This window comes from Homo sapiens, chromosome 14, assembly GCF_000001405.40.
Source record: "Homo sapiens chromosome 14, GRCh38.p14 Primary Assembly".
NCBI classification, from domain to species: domain Eukaryota; kingdom Metazoa; phylum Chordata; class Mammalia; order Primates; family Hominidae; genus Homo; species Homo sapiens.
Window position 1 is genome coordinate 67,602,911 of NC_000014.9, and position 21,184 is coordinate 67,624,094.

At 44.4% G+C, this 21,184-nt stretch overlaps 2 protein-coding genes and 2 pseudogenes across 2 annotated transcripts in view, besides 1 other annotated feature; all 4 read left to right on the forward strand.

Moving 5' to 3' along the window:
* The window catches only part of GPHN (gephyrin), a 1,227,209-nt gene that overhangs the window by 1,094,764 nt on the left and 111,261 nt on the right, over positions 1 to 21,184 (forward strand). The gene's annotated exons all lie outside the window — the stretch shown is intronic.
* On the forward strand, positions 8,076 to 10,963 carry LOC100419668 (protein kinase C eta pseudogene; annotated as a pseudogene).
* On the forward strand, positions 12,574 to 13,184 carry HMGB1P34 (high mobility group box 1 pseudogene 34; annotated as a pseudogene).
* Positions 16,940 to 17,009: a silencer, noted in NCBI's record as "silent region_5860". NCBI's record gives its function as "represses an Ori minimal core promoter by ATAC-STARR-seq in GM12878 lymphoblastoid cells {active_cell/tissue: GM12878}" and the evidence as "EXISTENCE:reporter gene assay evidence [ECO:0000049][PMID:35858748]".
* ARG2 (arginase 2) overlaps positions 17,010 to 21,184 on the forward strand; it is a 31,789-nt gene continuing 27,614 nt past the window's right edge. Inside the window, exons 1-2 of the mRNA NM_001172.4 lie at positions 17,010 to 17,178; positions 17,984 to 18,056. Of these exons, the coding sequence (NP_001163.1) occupies positions 17,068 to 17,178; positions 17,984 to 18,056 (184 nt within the window). The 5' untranslated portion in view covers positions 17,010 to 17,067. The remainder of the gene's footprint in view (positions 17,179 to 17,983; positions 18,057 to 21,184) is intronic.

Here is a 21,184-nt window from a genome sequence, read left to right on the forward strand (position 1 = left end):
AATTTAGTTGATTTTCTTAGAAGTCCTATGTATTTATACATTTTAAAGCATTATTATAATAAAGGGTCCATTCATTTCGCCAAACTTCCAGAGGGTCTACAATACAAAAGGTACCTGTACAGGCTAAGAAGTTTCTTTTCTTTTTCTTTCTTTCTGGTTTGTTTTGTTTTGTTTGAGGCAAGGTCTTGCTCTGTCACCGAAAGCGGAGTGCAGCAGTGGTACGGTCATGGCTCACTGCAGTCTCAACTTCCTGGGCTAAAGAGATCCTCCCACCTCAGCCCCTCAAGTATCTAGGGCTACAGGCACACTCTACCACATCAGGCTAATTTTTGCATATTTTGTAGAAATGGCATCTCACTATGTTTCCCAGGCTATTTTCAAACTCCTAGGCTCGGGTGATCCTTCGGCCTCAGCCTCCCAAAGAGTTGGGATTACAGGCATGAGTCACCATGCCCAGCAGGCTAAGAAGTTTCACAATTATAGAGTTATAGAAAGAAAAAGGCCAAATGTACTTTACTTAATTTTTTAAAAATACTCAATTATTAGGAATAAATACTGTGGTAGTCTAAGATCTCTAAAATCCTTTTTCTTTTTAGAGAGAGGGTGTTGCTCTGTTACTCAGGCTGCAGTGCAGTGGTATAATCATAACTCATTGTGACCTTGAATGCCTGGGTTGAAGCGTTCCTGTTGCCTTGGCCTCCTAAAGTGCTGGGATTGCAGGCATGAGCCACTGCACCCAGTCACTAAAATCCTTATTACTGCTTTGTGGGTTGTTTGTTTGTTTGAGACGGAGTTTTGCTCTTGTTACCCAGGCTGGAGTGCAATGGCACAATCTTGGCTCACCACAACCTCCGCATTCCAGGTTCAAGCGATTCTCCTGCTGAGGTCAGCCTCCCAAGTAGCTGGGATTACAGGCATGCGCCACCATGCCCAGCTAATTTTGTATTTTTAGTAGAGATGGGGTTTCTCCATGTTGGTCAGGCTGGTCTCAAACTCCTGACCTCAGGTGATCTGCCCGCCTCAACCTCTCAAAGTGCTGGGATTATAGGCGTGAGCCACCGCTCCCAGCCCTGCCCTTGTTTTTTGTTTTTGTTTTTTTTTTGAGACAGTCTTGCTCTGTCGCCTAGGCAAGAGTGCAGTAGCACAATCTCTACTCACTGCAACTTCCACCTCCTGGGTTCAAGCGATTCTTGTGCCTCAGCCTCCCAAGTAGCTGGGATTACAGGCGCAAAGGTTTTAGCTTTCTTACTGGGATGGATAGGCAAAGAATGTCTGTTCCATCTTTCAGAAATGGAAGTCTCCTCATCTGTCCATTTAAGGAAATGTTTTAATTGAGGTATATCCTCCAAGCAGTAAAACAGTCTGTGACTTACTTTTCCATACTCTAATGGTGTCTTTTGATGAACAGAGGTTTTAATTTTCATAAAGTCCAATTTATCAATCTTGTCTTTTATGGCTAGTGTTGTATAATATTTTGTCCTGTTTAGGAAGCTTTGCCTGTCTTGCGGGCATGGTGGCTCATGCCTATAATCCCAGCACTTTGAGAGGCTGAGCCAGGAAGATCGTTTGAGCTCAGGAGTTCCAGAACATGCTGGGCAACATAGCGAGACTCTGACTCTACCAAACAAAAAACAAAAAACAAAAAGCTGGGCATGGTGGCACAGCTACTAGGTACTAGGGAGGCTGAGGCAGAAGGGTTGCTTGAGCCCAGTAAGCCCAGCTTACTGTAGGAGGCTACAAAAAGCTGTGATCAAGCCACTGCATTCCAGCCTGGGTAACAGAGCGAGAAAAAACAAACAAAACAACAACAACAAAAAAAACTTTGCCTATCTTTTTTTTCCCTAGAAGCTTAATTATTTTACCTTTCATATTTAAGCCAATGATCCATTTTGAACTAATTTTTGTTTGTAGAGGTTAAGGGTCATTTTGTTTCCCAGCAGCACGTGTTGAAAAGACTACCCTTCCCCCCTAATTGAGATAGTGCCTTTGTTGTAAATAGGTGACCACAAATTTCTCGGTCTATTTCCACACTCTCTATTATGTTCTGTTGTTCTATTTTGTCTTCCCTTGTGCTAATAGCAACCTGTCTCAATTACTGTAGCTCTACAGTAGGTCTTGATTTCTCATACTGTTAAGTCTTTCAACTTTATACCTTTTCTTCAAAATTGTATTGGCTATTATAGGGTTTTTGTATTTTCACCAAAAATTTTGCTTGGATTGTACTGAATCTATCAATCAATCTAAGGGAGAATTGACATCTTAACTATGCCGCATGTTCCAATCCATGAACCTGGCATCTCTCCATTTATTGAAGTCTTCTCTAATTTCTCTCAGCAATGCTTAACAATTATTTGCACATCTTTCATTAGACCTCATTTGTAGGTATTTGATGTTTTCTGATATTCTCATAAATGATGTACATTAAAAATTTATTAACTCTCCCTTTTTATTTATTTATTTTTAGAGACACCATCTCACTCTGTCACCCAGGCTAGAGTCCATTGGCACAAATATCAGCTCACTATAACTTCAAATTCCTGGGCTCAAGGTATTCTCCCACCTTGGCCTCCCAAAGTGCTGGGCTTACAGGCATGAGCTATTGTACCCAGCCTTGCCACTCTCTTTTTAGTAAGATGTGTTTGGTATTTACCTAACATCAAATTGAAATTTTATAGAACAAAATACATCCATAATCCTGCCACCTAAGTATTTCCTCTTTACAAAAGCTCCTATGTCATATAAAATTTATATTAAATAAATTTATATGCTTCTCTCATATTAATTTTTTTTTATACATAGTCTCGCTTTGTTACCTAGGCTGGAGTGCAGTGGTGCAATCTTGGCTCACTGCAACCTCTGCCTCCTGGGATCAAGCAATCCTCCTGCCTCAGCCTCCCCAGTAGTTGGGACCACAGGTGCGCACCCCCATGTCTGGCTAATTTTTATATTTGTAGTAGAGACGAGGTTTTACCATGTTGCCCAGGCCGGTCTCAAGCAACCTGCCAGTCTCAAGCAACCTGCCTGCCTCGGCCTCCTAAAGTGCTGGGATTACAGGTGTGAGCCACCGTACCTAGCTTATTAGTATATATTTTGTATACTTTTTCTCATGTTAATGTGTGCTTTGTTGTCAGCCATTAACCTAGCAATGGAAAGAAAAAATACTTATTTTTCCCCGACATTAATCTACCATAGTTTACTTACTGTCACCCTGTTGTTCTCATAGCCAGTGAAAATGGCTAGTAATTGTTTCAAGTAAGGAAGAATGACAGTGGGAAAAAAATAGAAGAAATGAAACATGAAAGAAATCTATTGGCAGAATCTGATACAGCGCAGAAAGTAGTGGTTTTTTTCATGGAGTCACTTCTCCATCTTGTGGATTTCTAGAACAGTAGAGCTTAATATTTTCAACTTAAGTCTAGGAACACACCTGGCTTTTATGTGGAATGTTTCTCTTCCCTTGTAATATCAGGATACTTTTTGTTCTTGTGCACTAAAGGTTTTTTAATGTAATAAGCCAAGCTTGTGAGAAAGTTTAGATAAAAGATGGATCTAATTTGATGGGCATAGGTTTTACAAATAGATTCAATTAGACCATAACACCCTCAGCTCAGTTTTATTATTTTGATCAAGCCACAGCTGTGTAGGCTTGGAAATAAGTTACCTTTATGTAACTATTTTTTTATGAAGATTTCAAAGGAAAGGTAAAAAAGCCCTGGTTTTTGTTGTTGTTGTTTTTTGTTTTGTTTTTGTTTTGAGACGGAGTTTTGCTCTTGTTGCCCAGACTGGAGTGCAGTGGCGTGATCTCAGCTCACTGTGACCTCTGCCTTCTGGTTTCAAGCGATTCTCCTGCCTCAGCCTCCCAAGTAGCTGGGACTACAGGCACGTGCCACCATGTCCAGCTAATTTTTTGTATTTTTAGTAGAGATGGAGTTTCACCATCTTTGCCAGGATAGTCTCGATCTCTTGACCTCGTGATCTGCCCACCTCGGCCTCCCAAAGTGCTGGGATTACAGGCGTGAGCCACCCTGCCCGGCCAAGAGCCCTGGTTTTTAAAAAGCCTGATATATTCAAAATGTGAGAGGTAAACCAGCAGCAGTGGCTGGGTGCTTCTTCAAAATACAGATTCTTGGGTCTCACACCAAACCTACAGACTCAGAATCTCAGTTTTAGCAAGATTCTCAGGTGATACTCTTAGACATTAAAATTTGAGAAGTATATATATAACTCTTAATTAAGAATTGAGAAGTATATAACTCTTAATTGAGTAAGTATATAACTTGAGTAAGTATATAACTCTTAATTAAGATATAACTCTTAATACTGGATTCTCTACCCTGCTGCATAGTACAACCAGCTGGCAAGCTCTTAAAAACCACTACACCTGGGTCCATCCCAGGTAATTAAATCAGAATGGGCAGTGTGGGAAGGAGAACATGAACATGAGCTTTGTTTGTTTGTTTTTGTTTTTGTTTTTTGAGATGGAGTCTTGCTCTGTCACCAGGCTGGAGTCCAGTGGCGCGATCTCGGCTCACTGCAACCTCTGCCTCCCAGGTTCAAGAGATTCTCCTACCTCAGCCTCCCAAGGAGCTAGGACTACAGACGCATGCCACCGGGGCCAGTTAATGTTTGTATTTTTAGTAGAGATGGGGTTTCACCATGTTGGCCAGGATGGTCTTGATCTCTTGACTTCGTGATCTGCCCGCCTCGGCCTCCCAAAGTGCTGGGATTACAGGCGTGAGCCACCACGCCCGGCCTGGACGTGAGTATTTTTAAAAAGCTCCCAAGTTATTTTTAGGGAGCTGCCAGAGTTGAGCACTCTTGGGAGGATATCTTTCCCTCTGCCATCCCAGGCTCTAAAGTTAGAGGCCTGTAAATTAACTGACAATAGACTTTAATAGAAGAAAATGTTAATTTACCTACTGGGGTGTTGTGTAGTACAATGTAACTCTCTGAATAGCCAGAGATAGAGGTATCCAGTAGGGCCTTTGTATTTGTGGATTCTGCATCCATGAATTCAACCAACCAAGGGTGGAAAATATTCAGAGAGCTGGTTTGGTGGCTCACGCCTGTAATCTCAGCACTTTGGGAGGCTGAGACAGGAGGATTCCTTGAGCCCGAGAGTTTGAGACCAGCCTGGGCAACAAAGTGAAACCCCTGTCTCTACAAAAAAAAAAATCAAAAAAATTAGCCAGGTGTTGTGGCACGTGCCTACTGTCCCAGCTACACGGGAGGCTGAGGCAGCAGGATCCCTTGAGCCCAGGATGTCAAGGCTGCAGTGAGCCATGTTCATGCCACTGCACTCCAGCCTGGGTGAGACCCTGTCTCGAAAAAAAAAGAAAAAGAGAAAAAATAATGTCTGTACTGAACTCGCGTAGACTTTTTTCTTGCCATCATTCCCTAATCAATACAGGATAATGGCTATTTACATATAATTTACATTGTATTAGGTATAAGAAGTAATCTAGAGATGCTTTAAGGTATACAGGAGGATTGCATAGGCTATATGCAAACACGATGCCATTTTATACCAGGAACTTAAGCGTCTGTAGATTTTGGTATCTGAGGGAGGTCCTGGAACCAATCCCCCACTAATACAGAGGGACAACTGTATATACCACCTTAAACAAAAGGAGGGAGGCTTAGGGCTTCAGTGGGAATGTGTGGAAGGTTCTATTGTGTTTTTTGATGCCGAATGAATCTGAATTAGGACTTTCTGGTGCTAAGCCTCAGTCTTTTCCCAATCAAGAAACTTCCTCCCAGGAAACCTCAGAAATTTATTTGTCACAGTCCTGGAGGCTGGGAAGTCCAGGATCATGTTGCCTGCAGATTTGGTGTCTGGTGATAGCCTGTTTCACAGATGACATATTCTTGTTGTGTCCTCACATGGTACAAGGGGCAAGGCAGCTCTCTGGGCAGTTTTTTACAAGAGAACTGAATAGAAAACAACAAAACAAAACACAAACAGTTTGATTCTCCTGTTGTTTCTCACAACACAGAAAACTTCTGTGACCAAGCGTATGGGGGGCTTTCCCCATACACCAAGAAAGCAGTTCGACACTATCCACCTGGAAGTCACGTCAGATCCTACAGAACTTGTCAACAACTCAGTCCCACAAAAGTGCCCCTGACTTGAGACATCAATTGCAAGTCCGAGCTTCTGGAACTTCCCACCAACCAGCTATTAATTGGCATTCCCATGAAGCTCCTTTTGGGTTCAGGTAATTTTGTATAAACTCTGTCTTTGCTGCAACTCCCACTGTTCTCGGTGTCTTTTTGCAGGGCAGCAGGCAAGAAGAATCTGTCAGGCTGTGACATCTGTGCCACTTGCTCATAAAGGCTCACAGAACTCAGGGGAATACTTACGCTTACTGGTTTATTATAACGCATATTTTAAAGGATACAAATGAATAACCAGATGAAGAGGTACATGGAAGTCTGGGAAGGTCCTGAGCTCAGGCGCTTTTGTCCCATGGAGTTGGGGTGCACCGCCTTCCCTGTACCCCATATGTGGAAGTCCCCTGAACTCAGTCCTTTTGGGTTTATACAGAGGCTTCATTATGTAGGGCTGATTGATTAAATCACTGGCCATTGGTGGCCAACTCAACCTTCAGCCCCTCTTCCCCTTCCTGAAGATGTGTGTGTGTTGGGGGTGGGGCAGGGGTATGAATTTCAAGTCCCTGAGCACATGGTTGCTTCTCCTGGCCCCTAATCCTGTGGTTACCTAGGGACTTTACAAAACTCACCTCCTTAACATAAATTCAGATGTGGTTGAAAGGGGCTCATTATAAATAACAAGAGCCTTTCACCTTTATTGCTCCAGAGCTGTTTCAGCAACCAAGGACAAAAGGCCAATTTAACAAAACATATTCTTGAAGAGAAGAAGGGGAAGGGGGTGGGGATCCGCTAGGGGCTGGCACTAAAGGGACTGGTAGCTCCAGCTTTCAGAGGAGAGGAGTTTCTTGGCCCTGGAGAAAGGGCGAGTCTGCACAAGGCTCCTGTCCTGGAAACGCTGTGAGATTGAGAGGGACAGGCTTCCCTGATGAGCCCAGTCCCTTCCTTTCAACCTTGGGAGGGATGAAGGGAATGAGAGGAGGAGAAGGGCCAACGGAGAAGGCAGAATGGCTAGTCAAGGGCCGTTTGTGTCCTGCTTCTCCCCAGGGCTGCCTCCACTCCTGTGGCTGCTTCGAGGGTTGCCAGCGGCGGGGCAGAGGCGCCAGTCTATGGTCCGGCACCAGGCTGTTAAATGCCTATTCAAGGATCCACATTCCCTGAGAAACCACCTTTGCAGAATTTTAAGTAATGAAATATAACATGACTGACTCCATTTTGCTACTAGTCTTGCAAGCTAAATTGGTTGGGGGTTTTTGTTGTTTTTTGTTTTTGTTGTGTATATTCTAGTGCAGAGGCCAAGATAACTATAAGAGGAATTTAGTTTATAGCTAAACTTTGAGGCAAGGAGAACTGACGCCCCTCCTTGTTCGGAGATCGAAGCCACATTCATATGACATGGTTACAATTATGGTAGGGGCTTGAACTTTGCTGAAGAATTGTGGTAGGGGCTTGAACATAGTTAAAGAATGAGCTGCTGTTGCTTCCTCTGTTTTCTGTAAGTTGCTTACTGCCCCAAAGTCATGTAATGGGGGTCTCAAGATTGATAACTTCCTCAACTACTCCTATAGATGACCTCACTATTATGAAACCTAGAGACCTGGTCTTGGAGATCCTTTTCAGATTTAGCATTTCAGTAGATCAAGAGAGGCCCCCTGGTCCTGACATCACCCACACTTCCTGGGAACTGACTCAGCTGTGTTAAGACAGTTTTAGAGGCCCCTGTGATTCTATCCCCAGCCAATCGTTTCAGTTCCCCAGCTCCCTGCCTACCAAAGTACCCTTAAAAAACCCTAGCCTCCAAATTCTTGGAGAGAGGGGTTTGAGAAATTTCTCCCTGTTCTCCTCACTTGGCTTGACCCTGCAATTATTAATTAAATTATTTCTTTGCTACAACTTCTGCGGTTCTCGATGGTTTTTTTCAGGGCAGCAGGCAAGAAGAACCCATCAGGCTGTGATACCTGTGCCACTTGCTCATGAAGGGCCACCAGCTGCTGGAGCCGTACCTGATGGTGAGTGTGAACGAGGTGCACGTGGGCCAGACCAGCACCAATGGAGGACCACCAAACCCATGTACAATGAGGAGCTCTAGACTAACGCCACTGATGGCGGCCGTCATCCATAAGATGCCCCTGGGCTATGACCACTTCATGTAAACGTGTATGCTGTAATTAATTCTTTCTTTCTTTCTCTCTCTCTTTCTTTTTCTTTCTTTCCTTTCCCTCCCTCCCTCTCTCTCTCTTTCTTTCTTTTCTTTCTTGAGATGGAGTCTCACTCTGTCTCCCAGGCTGGAGTGCAGTGGTGCCATCTCGGCTTACTGCAACCTCCACCTCCCAGGTTCAAGTGATTCTCCAGCCTCAGCCTCCCGAGTAGTTGGGACTACAGCCACCACATCTGGCTAATTTTTTGGTTTTTTTTTTGTATTTTTAGTAGAGATGGGGTTTCACCGTATTGGGCAGGCTGGTCTCGAACTCCTGACCTCAGGTGATCCACCTGCCTCAGCCTCCCAAAGGGCTGGGATTACAGGTGTGAGCCACCATGCCTGGCCACATGTACCCTGTAATTGTATCACTGGTAAACTGAGTTCTTTCCCTACTTTGTATCGGTTGCAAAGAAAAAACAACCAATTGGAAAAACAAAAGGCAAGCAGGTTTTATCTCTGGCCAACAATAGAGAGCTCTTGCTCTAAAGCAATGTTCCCCAACCTTTTTGGCAGCAGGAACCAGTTTCATGGAAGACAATTTTTCCACAGACCAGGGTGGGGGGATGGTTTTGGGATGACTTAAGTGCATTACATTTATCGTGTACTTTATTGCTATTATTATTACATTGTAATATATAATGAAATAATTATACAACTCTCCATAATGTAGAATCAGTGGGAGCCCTAAGCTTGTTTTCCTGCAACTAAACGGTCCCATCCATGGGTGATGGGAGACAGTGACAGATCATCAGGCATTAAATTCTCATAAGGAGCATGCAGCCTAGATCCCTCACATGCATAGTTCACAATAGGGTCCACACTCCTAGGACAATCTAATGCCACTGCTGATCTGACAGGAGGTGGAGCTCAGGTAGTAATGCCAGCAATGGGGAGTAGCTGTAAATACAGGTGAAGCTTCACTCGCTTGCTTGCCCACCTGCTACTCACCTCCTGCTGTGCAACTTGGTTCCTAACAGGCCACAGGCCAGTACCAGTGAATGGCCCAGGGGTTGGGGACCCCTGCTCTAAAGACCCCTTCTCCCAGAGCCATAGGAAGCTGGGGAATTTTATGGAGTTAGATGAGGGAAGGGGAGGTATGTAAATATGTGCTGGGAGCCCAAGATCATAAACATGCATCTTCATACTATGCATGTTCAGAAAATGGTGGGCATTTTCTTCTATGGGTGGGATTTTGATATTGTAATGATATCTTAATGATCTAAAGGTAACAAGGAGCTTCCGGTTCTGGTTGGCACCAGTTTTGCACCAGCCTTATCTTCCTCTGGTAATTGACGAAGGGTTCTGAAGCTCCTGTGGCTTCTCAGGTCATCTGGTGTTCTTTTAAGCAAGGTACCTATAGATAAAAAGACTAGAAAAACACTGTTTAAGAAAAAATAATGAGCTTTCACAGCTGTTTATGGTTTAAGAAAATAGGCTGGGTGCGGTAGCTCACGCCTGTAATCCCAGCACTTTGGGAGGCCAAGGTGGGCAGATAACTGGAGGCCAGGAGTTCGAAACCAGCCTGGCCAATGTGGTGAGACCCTCCCCATCTCTACTAAAAATACAAAAAAAAATTAGCCAGGGGTGGTGGCTGGCACCTGTAATCCCAGCTACTCCGGAGGCTGAGGCACAAGACTCTCTTGAACCAGGGAGGTGGAGGTCACAGTGAGCCGAGATCGCACCACTGCACGCCTGGGCGACTGAGGGAGACTCTGTCTCAAAAAAAAAAAAGAAAGAAAATAGTGAGCTTTCCCAGCTATATTTCTAGGGCTGCCCTGGTAACAACTCCAGTGTGGACTAAAAGGAAGAAGCTGAGGCAAAATTAATATAACTAGAGAATTTATTTGGGCCAAGCTTGAGGATTGCAATACAGGAGCATAGATTCAAAAGATTGCTCTGAGCTATTTTTTTGTTTTTTTTTTTCACTGGGAGTGGCTGTGCACTGCCGGCATGGCCAACACCTTGAGCACCTTCCAAGGCTAGGTGAATCTGCAGCCAGAGAGGAAAGCATTTGTGGTAATAACCCTAATAGTGCAAGACATGGTGGGTCAAGCCTGTTATCCCAGGTACTTAGGAGGCTGAGGTGAGAGGATTATCTGCGACTAGGAGTTCAAGACCAGCCTGAGCAATATGGTGAGATCCTGTCTCTAAAATAAAAATTAGCCAGGAGTGGGGGTGCAGTCCTGTGGTTCCAGCTATTTGGAAGGCTGAGGTGGAGGATTTCTTGAGCCAGGAGTTCAAGGCTGCAGTAAGCTATGATCGTACCACTGCACTCCAGCTCAAGTGACAGAACGAGACCATGTCTCCAAACCCAACCCCTCCCCACCAATAAAACAGATCAATGGAAACAAGATTATTCTCACATACCTGAGGCAGCCCACCTACTGCTCTTACTGCAGGAAGTTTATCTGGGGAGTATTTGGGAAACAGGGTTATCAATGCCAAGTGTGCACATGTGTTACCCATAAACACTGCCATCATCTAACCATTACAGCCTGTATTTGCCAAAACAATATTAACCAAGAAGATTCAAAGATTGCCAAACAGAGGTTCAGAATCAACATCTCACACAACTTCAGCATCCACAACTACAAATCACTACCGCTTTGCAATCACTGTGGCGCCTTGCTTTGGGGGATAATGGGTCTTCATTTCTGAAGGCTCTAGTGTCAGGTAAAACTTTGATGAAATAAATTTGTTATAATTTTCTTTTGGTTTTGTTTTCTTTTTTGAGACAGGGTCTCTCTCTGTCACCCAGGCTAGAGTGCAGTGGCATGATCACAGTTCACTGCAGCCCCGACCTCTTGGGCTCAAGGGATCCTCCTGGCTCCTGTTTCCTGAGTAGCTGGGTCTACGGGTACACACCACCACACCCAGCTAATTTTGTTTATTTTTTGTAGAGACAGGGTCTTGCTATGTTGTCTAGGCTGGTCCTGAACTCCTGGGCTCAAGCAATCTTCCTGCCTTGGCCTCCTGAAGTGCTAGCATTATAGGCATGAGCCACTGCACCTGGTTCTTTTCTCTCTTGTTAATCTGTCATTTGCTATAGGAGTGGTGGCTGTTCCTTACGATGGATGAGGAAAGGTATCACACTTTTCTGCCACTACACTGCCTTTGAGAATTTGTAGTTTACCCTTCTCTGAGTTCCCTTGGATTTGCAGTAAACAATGGTATGCTAGAGCCTGCTCTTAGCAGCTTGCAATTTTTAGGAATTTTGTGAGCCAGTTGTCGAACACAACCTTCATTAAGAATCAGATTACAGTCTGGGTATGGTGGCTCATGCCTGTAATCTCAGTTTTGGGAGGCTGAGGCAAGGAGGATCGCTTGAGCCCAGGAGTTTAAGACCAGTCTAGGCAGCATAATGAGAACCCATCTCTCCAAAAAAAAAAAATTTGCTGGGTATGGTGGCACGCACCTGTAGTTCCAGCTAGTCAGGAGGCTGAGGTGGGAGGATTGCTTGAGTCCAGGAGGTCAAGGTTGCTGTGAGCTATGATTGTGCCACTGTACTCCAGCCTGTAATAATTTAATTACATAAATTATATTAAAACCAAAGATAATATAGACTCCAGACTTATCACTGCCTAATTATTTTACTATGTCTTCCTATTATTTATGTCCTTGAGGTTTTTTTTTTTTGTGTTGATTGTATCTGTATGGTAGAAATACTGTATAAATGAGCACCTCTTCACAACTCCATGTTCAGTGACATCACAATGGGAGCTCATAAATAAGAAAGTATTTACACCCCAGAAATCAGCAAACCTGACAATTGTGTCTTACTTATTCCCACTCCCTCACAGTTCCCCACCCCACAACTCCCAGCAACCTATTAAGGGATAGAGTGTGTGTTGGCAGCCACATGATTAAAGGAAAGAGGCCAAATCTCTAGATCCTCCTACAAAGGAAGAAGAAAAATAGAGCAAGCTGGTTTGAACCTGAGAAGGGGTCCTAGAGCTATGCACTAACAGGGTACAAGTTTTAAAGTAAATTTTTAAACTTAACTCATTCTTTATGACTTTAGAATTTTATTTTTGAAAACAGATTTTTAAATTAAATGCCGGTTCTGAAAATAAAAGCAGGTATTCATTTTCAACTTTGGGGTTTGTTTTTTGTTTTGCTTTGAGTTGCTGTTTTATGAACTTTGGGGTTTTAAAAATGAATTATAGGCAGTACATTGAGCTCCATAAAGACAGTGCCGGGGCAAGTGAGAGCCGGATGGGCCCTAGGCAACTCTGTGCCTCGCTGAGGAAAAATAACTAGACATAGGCAAAGGAGATCTTAAAAAGCCAAGAGGCAAAATGCCATCGTATGTATTTTGTGTGCAAACTTGTCCGGAGGAGCGTAAGAAGAAACACCCAGATGCTTCAGTCAACTTCTCAGAGTTTTCTAAGAAGTGCTTAGTGAGGGGGAAGACCATGTCTGCTAAAGAGAAAGGACAATTTGAAGCTATGGCAAGGGCAGACAAGGCCCGTTACGAAAGAGAAATGAAAACATATATCCCTCCTAAAGGGGAGACAAAAAAAGTTTAAGGATCCCAATGCACCCCAGAGGTCTCCTTCAGCCTTTTTCTTGTTCTGTTCTGCGTGTGGCCCAAAAGTCAAAAGAGAACATTCTGGCCTGTCCATTGGTGATTCGGCGAAGAAACTGGGAGGGATGTGGAATAACACTGCTGCAGATGACAAGCAGCCTTAAAAAGAAGTCTGCAAAGCTGAAGGAAAAATACAGAAAGGATACTGCTACATATTGAGCTAAAGGAAAGTCTGATGCAGCCAAAAAGGGAGTTGTTGAGGCTGAAAAAAGCAAGAAAAAGAAAGAAGAGGAAGAAGAGGGAGAGAATGAGGAGGAGGAAAATGAAGAAGATGGTGATGATGAATAAGTTCGAGTGCAGTTTTTTTTCTTGTCACTAAAGCATTTAACCCCCCTGTACACAACTCACTCCTTTTAAAGACAAAAAAAATTTGAAATGTAAGACTTGTTTTTAAACTGTACACTGTCTTTTTTTTTTTTTGTACAGTTAACACACTACCAAATGTGTCATTGGATAGCCCTGTCCTGGTGATTTTTTTAATAGCCTCCATACTGTACCTTGTTTGGTACACTGTGGGGGCTGTAAATTGACATGGAAATTTAAAGCAGGTTTTCGTTGGTGCACAGCACAAATTAGTTATATATGGGATGGTAGCTTTACATCTTCAGTTGTCTCTGATGCAGCTTATATGAAATAATTGTTGTTCTGTTAACTGAATACTCTGTAATTGCAAAAAAAAAAAAAGTTGCAGCTGTTTGTTGACATTCTGAATGCTTCTAAGTACATACAATTATTATTATTATTGTTGTCCTTTTAAAAATGAACTATAAACTATTTCAGACATGGAATAAATAATAATTTGAATTGTTAAAGATAATAGGACTACAGGTTGAGTATTCCTTATCCTAAATGCTTGGGATCAGGAGTGTTTCAGATTTTTTTTTTTTTTAAATATTTGCATATACATATGAGATATCTTGGGAATGGGATGCAACTTTAAACATGAAACTTACTTATGTTCATATACACCTCATACACATATCCTGAAGGTGATTTTATATTTTAAATAATTTTGTTCATGAAACAAAGTTTTGACTGCATTCTTTTATTTCTATTTTTATTTTTATTTATTTATTTTTTTCGAGATGGGGTCCTCACTCTGTCACCCAGGCTAGAGTGCAGTGGTGCAATCTCGGCTCACTGCAACCTCCACCTCCCTGGTTCAAGCAATTGCCCTGCCTCAGCCTCCTGAGTAGCTGGGATTACAGGTGCACGCCACCACGCCTGGCTAATTTTATTGTGTTTTTAGTAGAGACGGGGTTTCACCATGTTGGCCAGACTGGTCTCAAACTCCTGACCTCAGGCAATCCACCCACCTCGGCCTCCCAAAGTGCTGGGATTACAGGCGTGAGCCACCGTACCTGGCCCTATTTTTATTTTTTTTAGAGACAGGGTCTTGCTCTGTCACCTAGGCTGCAATGCAATGGTGCAATCATGGCTCATAGGCATGAGCCACTGCACCCAGCCTTTTTTTGTTTTTGTTTTTGTTTTTTTAAGACTAGTCAAGTGCAGTAGTGAGAAGGGGAGAAAAAAATAGAACAAGGTGTTCCATCTGTAACTGACTGTGACCAATCTATTAAGGTAACTCACTACGTTCGGACCAAACTGACTGCATTTTCACTGGGACTGGTCACATGAGGTCCAGTATGGAATTTTCCACTTGCGTTATCATGTAGGTGCTGAAATTTTGGATTTGGATTTTAGATTTTTGGATTAAGGATGCTCAACCTGTATAACAATCTCCTGTTCACTCTCCCAGTGCATAATAAAGTGGAACTAGTAATTTATCTCTGACTAAACTATAGGTAGTGGAAAACCACTGAAAATGACATGCAGGATTAAAGTAGCACTTTGGAAAGGTCGGTCTGGTGATCCACAGTAAATGCTCAAGAAGCAAGAGGTTTTTTGTTGTTTGTTTGTTTGTTTTTGAGACAGAGTTTTGCTCTTGGTGCCCAGGCTGGAGTGTAATGGCACAATCTTGGCTCACCGCAATCTCCGCCTCCCAGGTTCAAGCAATTCTCCTGCCTCAGACTCCTGAGTAGTTGGGATTACAGGTGCCCGCCACCATGCCCAGCTTTTTGTATTTTTAGGAGAGACAGGAGTTTCTCCATGTTGGTCAGGCTGGTCTCAAACTCCTGACCTCAGGTGATCCACCTGCCTCGGCCTCCCAAAATGCTGGTTTTACAGGTGTGAGCCACCGCGCCCAGCGGAAGCAAGAGGTTTTTGCAGTAGCACAGGAAGCCCTGAGGCAACCTGTGCCAGTATCAACTTCAGAAAACATTTAGTAAAGGGGGAAAAAAATTGAATGTAGTGATGGGCAAGAAATACAAAAGTATCAACATAATTTCAATGAACTGAACAAGTATGACAGTATCTGTGACTGTGAATCCCTGACCACGCCCCCACCCATTCCTGGAGGGCTTGTTAAAACATAGGTTACCGGTGCCCTACCCCTAGAGTTACTGATTCTGTAAATTCGCGAGTGGGGCCCAAGAATTTGCACTTCTAACAAGTATCTGGTGACCCATAGCAGGTGCTCAAGAAGCAAGAAGTTTCTTGCTGCTTTTTATTTTTATTTTTTTGAGATAGGGTCTCACTCTGTCACTCAGGCTGAGATGCAGTGGTGTGATCATGGCTCACTGAAGCCTCGACTTCCTGGGCTCAAGAGATTCTCCCACTTTAGCCTCCCAAGTAGCTGGGGCCATAGGCACATGCCACCACATCCAGCTATTTTTTTTTTTTTAAATTTCTGGTAGAGTCAGCGTCTCACTATGCTGCCCAGGCTGGTCTCAAACTCCTGGGCTCAGGAGATCCTCCTGCCTTGGCCTCCCAAAGTGTTGGAATTACAGGTGTGAGTCACCATGTGCAGCCAGTTTCTTCTTGATGCTGTATCCAGGTGATGCTGATGCTGCTGGTCTGGGACCACACTTTCAGAACCACTGCCTTACAGTGGTTATTTTGCTAAGGCCTCAAAGACATCATTGTTAAACCAGCAGGGGGAGACAATATACAACAGAGCCTCTAAAAATAAAATGTCTTAGGGTACTAAAACTCCTTTGGAGTTATGGTGTTGCCATGGAGACCTCTGAACTGTTTTGGAGAGCAGTGTGTAAATTGACATGAGGTGAAATAAATTTCAGGAGTTTATGTAAAAAATTAATTTGGTAGAAATAATGTCTAGATTCTTGCATGCCATGGTGTCTTGGTTAAGAACTTGGAATGTGGAGTCAGCTCTGCCACTTACAAGCTATGTGGCTCTGGGAAAATTACTTATGTCTTTGATCTTTTCTTCGCTTTAAAAAGTAACCTGTGGTATAGAATTGGAGGGGTAAAGTTCTTGGAATGCTGAGATTATTAAATTATTATTCGTTATTAAAACTCTAGTTACTTAGCACTTACAGCTCTTTAGCTTAGAAATAGTCTAAATACGTTGCTATATTTGCTTTTTTAATAACCAGCGCTCCCGTTATTCAGGTAAAGAATTAAAAACATCTAAAAGGTAATTGCTTTGTAAATCCTAACCTCTTTCATTCAAAATACCTAAGGTAGATGGCTCTTTATAAACGTGCCCGGCTCAGAGAGCTCTCATCTATATTATATCTCCGAATCCAAATTTCACTGATGCCCAGTCTAAGAGTGTTTCCTGGGCTTTGAGCTTTGAGATAGAACGAAGCAGGTGGATCCTGGCTTTGACTAGGCAGGGCCAGACCAGGCCCGACCCAGCCAGCCCATCCGTAGAGTCAGCATCAGCCGGGCGTGAAGATTGGTGTCGGCTCCTGCGTTCCGCCAAGTTCAGGAACCTGGCATGGGCCGGCCGCCTCCCGCGAAGGGACACACCTGTTGGTCACCGCGCTCTTACTGGCCAGACCCGGATATTGGCCTTCTGGCGTCAGCGGCAGGGGCATGTCCCTGGCCGGAGAGCACAGGCCAGAGTGGGGTGACGTCATCGAAGGCACGTCCCAGCCTTGCAGAGCGGTGGGCGGGGCCTGCGAAGAAGGTGTGCCGGGGGCTGGTTGGAGGCGCGGGCGGCGGGGCCAATGTGGCGGTGACGTCACGGGGCGGGCGGACGCTGGCGCGGGTAGGTAAGAGCAGCGGCGGGCGGTGGCGCTCACTCCCGGCTTCCAACCGCGCGGAGCCTCTGCCTTGGAGATTCTCAGTGCTGCGGATCATGTCCCTAAGGGGCAGCCTCTCGCGTCTCCTCCAGACGCGAGTGCATTCCATCCTGAAGAAATCCGTCCACTCCGTGGCTGTGATAGGAGCCCCGTTCTCACAAGGGCAGGTGAGAACTGGCACCTGGAACCGCCGGGCAGGATCCTCCGCCCCCTAGAACCTGGAGACAGCGGCGGTAGGGTGCGGGGGACCGGGAGGCGAGGAGAGGATGGGGAGAAATGGCGAGGGGAAGAGCTGGCCGGTTCCCGCTACTGGGCACCGTGGGAGCATGTGGGATATCCTCCGACAGAGAATGGAGAGGGAGGGAGGGAGGGGTGGAGGGCACCCTGTTTGGGATGAGGGTGTGTTTCTGCGGCCTCCCCAGAAAGACCGAGAAAACGGTGGATGCAGCTTGGGGTAATGGAGGGGAGAGAATGAGGAAGAGGATTCCTTGGAGGGGCTGGAGGAGGCGAAACTGGTCAGAATCCCCAGTGGAGAATCGATGGAGGAGGTTAAAAGGAGCGACCGAGGATTTAAGTCTTCTGGATCCATTCACTCAGAATGAGCATTAACTGGGAGGGAAATTGGAGCTGGCCTCTCCAGCGCGGGAGGTGGGGAGGAGCTGTTTTGTTCTCTTCAATGAAGGAAACCTGCAGTCGGGAGCGCTCAGTCATCTCGAAGCCCAGAAGCCCAGTCTCTGGCCCGAGCCAGCCCCACACACGCCTAGCTCCTGGATCCTAACCTGGCTCAGCCTCTCCCGTCTTGGCTTGGGCAGCTGATGTGATTCCAACAATGGAGTTGGAAGGACAGTCATTGATGGAAGGGCTGATGCTGTCACAGGTTTTCAGAGGAACCTGCTGGGAACTAAATGTACCAAATGGGTTTTTTTCCGACACCTTCTCTACCTCTAATTGTGTAATTTGTGTGACTGACAGAAAAGAAAAGGAGTGGAGCATGGTCCCGCTGCCATAAGAGAAGCTGGCTTGATGAAAAGGCTCTCCAGTTTGGGTAAGTGGTTAGATTTTTAGATATTAGTGCAGGACTAGTAATAGACCACTTCAGAGTCTTTTCTCTGACATCCAGGGACTACACAGCTTTGTGTTTGGGAACAGTCTGCCACATCCCGCATCCTCCTTTGGATTCCGTCTGCGGCTTAAGATCAAGGAGTCATCAGGGAAAGTCTTCTTGCAATAAAGAGTGTGTTGGAAGGCAAGGAGGTAGAGTGAGGCAAGGTCTGAACAGCTGTCAGGGAATGCAAGTGATGCTAAGAACACTAGCTCCAGCTTCAACTGCACAGTCAACCTTTCCCCTTAAAATTCCATTTTCCTAACTCCATCTTGAGATGCTTATGATTTATCAGTCTCGCCAGTTTTCTGTCTTCAAATTATTTCCTCTCTAGGGTTAATATCTTTATTACTGGAAGCAGTAATATAGGTCTTATAGGCTCACTGATCTTATATAGAACTAATAGGCTTAGATCTATATTTTCCGTGTTCTTTTTTTTTTTCTTTTTTTGAGATGGAGTCTTATTCCATCACCCAGGCTGGAGTGCAGTGATGCAATATTGGCTCATTGCAACCTCCACCTTCTGGGTTCAAGCAATTCTCCTCCCAAGTAGCTGGAATTACAGGTGCGTGCCACCACACCTGGCTAATTTTGTATTTTTAGTAGACACGGGGTTTCACCATGTTGGTCAGGCTGGTCTTGAACTCCTGACCTCAGGTGATCCGCCCACCTCAGCTTCCCAAAGTGCTGAGATTATAGGTGTGAGCCACTGTGCCCAGCTATAAATGCCATTTCCATAGTAAGGGAGAACCCTTCTCTTAGTAACAGCACCAAATTTGAATACCTTTATAAGCAGGGTGCGGTGGCTCATGCCTGTAATCCCAGCACTTTGGGAGGCCAAGGTGGGTGGATCACCTGAGGTCAGGAGTTCGAGACCAGCCTGACCAATATGGCGAAATCCCTTCTCTACTAAAAATACAAAAATTAGTCAGGCATAGTGGCATGCACCTGTAGTCCCAGCTACTCAGGAGCCTGAGACAGAAGAATTGCTTGAACCTGGGAGGCAAAGGTTGCAGTGATTGTGCCACTGCACTCCAGCCTGGGTGACAGAATGAGACTCCATCTCAAATAAATAAATAAATACCTTTATGGCAGGAAGGTTCTTCTTTATATCCAATCTAAATGTTTCTAGACTCTGTTCAAGGCCATTTGCTCTGTTCATGTTTGGATCATTCACATATCTTTTCTGGTGACATAAGTGCAAAATGTGAGGCAGCACGGAGATTATGGAGATAATAACACATAATCTAAGTTAACTCCCCACTGTTGCTCTGAACTCTTCTCTGCTGGTCATAAGTCCATTCCAAGTGAAGTCATCTCCTTCCAAAAGCCAGAGGAATAATGAAGTCACTGAAACAGCCTTGAGTTGAGGTGTCCTTCATATACCTCCACCTACATATGGATATGGTGACATGGATTCAATATTCGAACCTTGTTTATTAAATAATTGCAGTTTCTTCTTTACTAAGGCCTCTCTTAGTCATTTTAATAACTCTCCAAGTTCACCACTGAAGATTAAAGACAAACTGCTAAGATTTAGTCTTCTTTTAATGTGTGGCAAGTTAACTAATGGGAGGAAGTTTTTATTCCCGCCCATAAATGAGCATACTGTCTCTTAAAATAGCTTGTACACACTGCCTTTTTAAAAGAATCATTTTACACTGAAGACGACAATCTCTGGTTATCACTGTTTTTAAATCCTGGAGACATCTCTGCAGTCCATCTGAACTCGGCCAAGCATTGCTCAAATTGCTCTACCGTCTGTAGGTTCTGCCTTAAGAGATTCCTGACAAGAAGCGGTTTCAGCCTCTTCTGGAGGAGACCTCTATAACAATCAGCTGAGGCTGCTGAATGAGGGGGAAGGGCACATTTGTAGCAGCTTCTCTTACTCATGCTTTGTAGACTTCCTTTCCTGTCACAGCTCTTGGTATTTTTCCACTCCAACCCAGGGGAAGCCATTCTCCTGTAAATATTACTCCCTCTTTAAACTCCAACCTAAAGTGATGGTGAGGCTTCAGTTTATATGGCCTTCCCTTTGACTTTTTTTCTCAAATATATTTAATTGTACAATTATATCCTTACTGTGTAGCTGACTGGTAGCTCAGTATCACCAGCAGTCTGAAATAGAATCTCATAGCCTATTAAATAAAACTGTGGCTCTCAGCAGATTTCTAGCATGTGGTTTTGGCTAATCTCCTGGAATATATTGGAGAAAAGTACCAAGAGACATTTCAGTTGCTCTGTTCCTAAACAGTACCAAAATAACTTGAGTGTTTTGAACACTTTCAAATAAACAGCATGGATCAAATTTCAAAGGAGAGACTCATGGAAAGGTAACTTTCACAATCCCTTTGTTCCTTGCCTTTGCTCTGATGTCACAGGCTGCCGGTGTTACCATAGCATGAGTTAAATTTCCTGTTTTCTCTCGAATGAATGTATTTGACTTAGTGTCTGGGCTTGTTTTATTTCCTTGGGCTTAGTAAGGACACTCAACAGTACTCTCAGGTAACCTTTTTTTTTTTTTTTTTTTTTTTTTTGAGACGGAGTCTCGCTCTGTCACCAGGCTGGAGTACAGTGATGCGATCTTGGCTCACTGCAACCTCCGCCTCCCGGGTTCAAGCAATTCTCCTGCCTCAACCTCCAAAGTAGCTGGGATTACAGGTGCCTGCCACTGCGCCTGACTAATTTTTGTATTTTTAGTAGAGATGGGGTTTCACCATGTTGGCCAGGCTGATCTCGAACTCCTGACCTCAGGTGATCTGCCCATCTAGGCCTCCCAAAGTGCTGGGATTACAAGAGTGAGCCACTGCTCCCAGCCACCTTTTATTTTTCTTTGAGAGAGGGTCTCACTCTGTCACTCAGGCTGGAGTGCAGTGGCATAGTCACAGCCTACTGCAATCTCAACCTCCTGGACTCAAGCGATCCTCCCACTTTAGCCTCTTGAGTAGCTGGGACTACAGACACATGCCAGTATGCCTGGATAATTTTTTTTTCTTTTGTAGAGCCGGGGTCTCACTATGTTGCCCAGGCTGGTCCCGAACTCCTGGGCTTAAGAGGGCCTAAGAGAAATG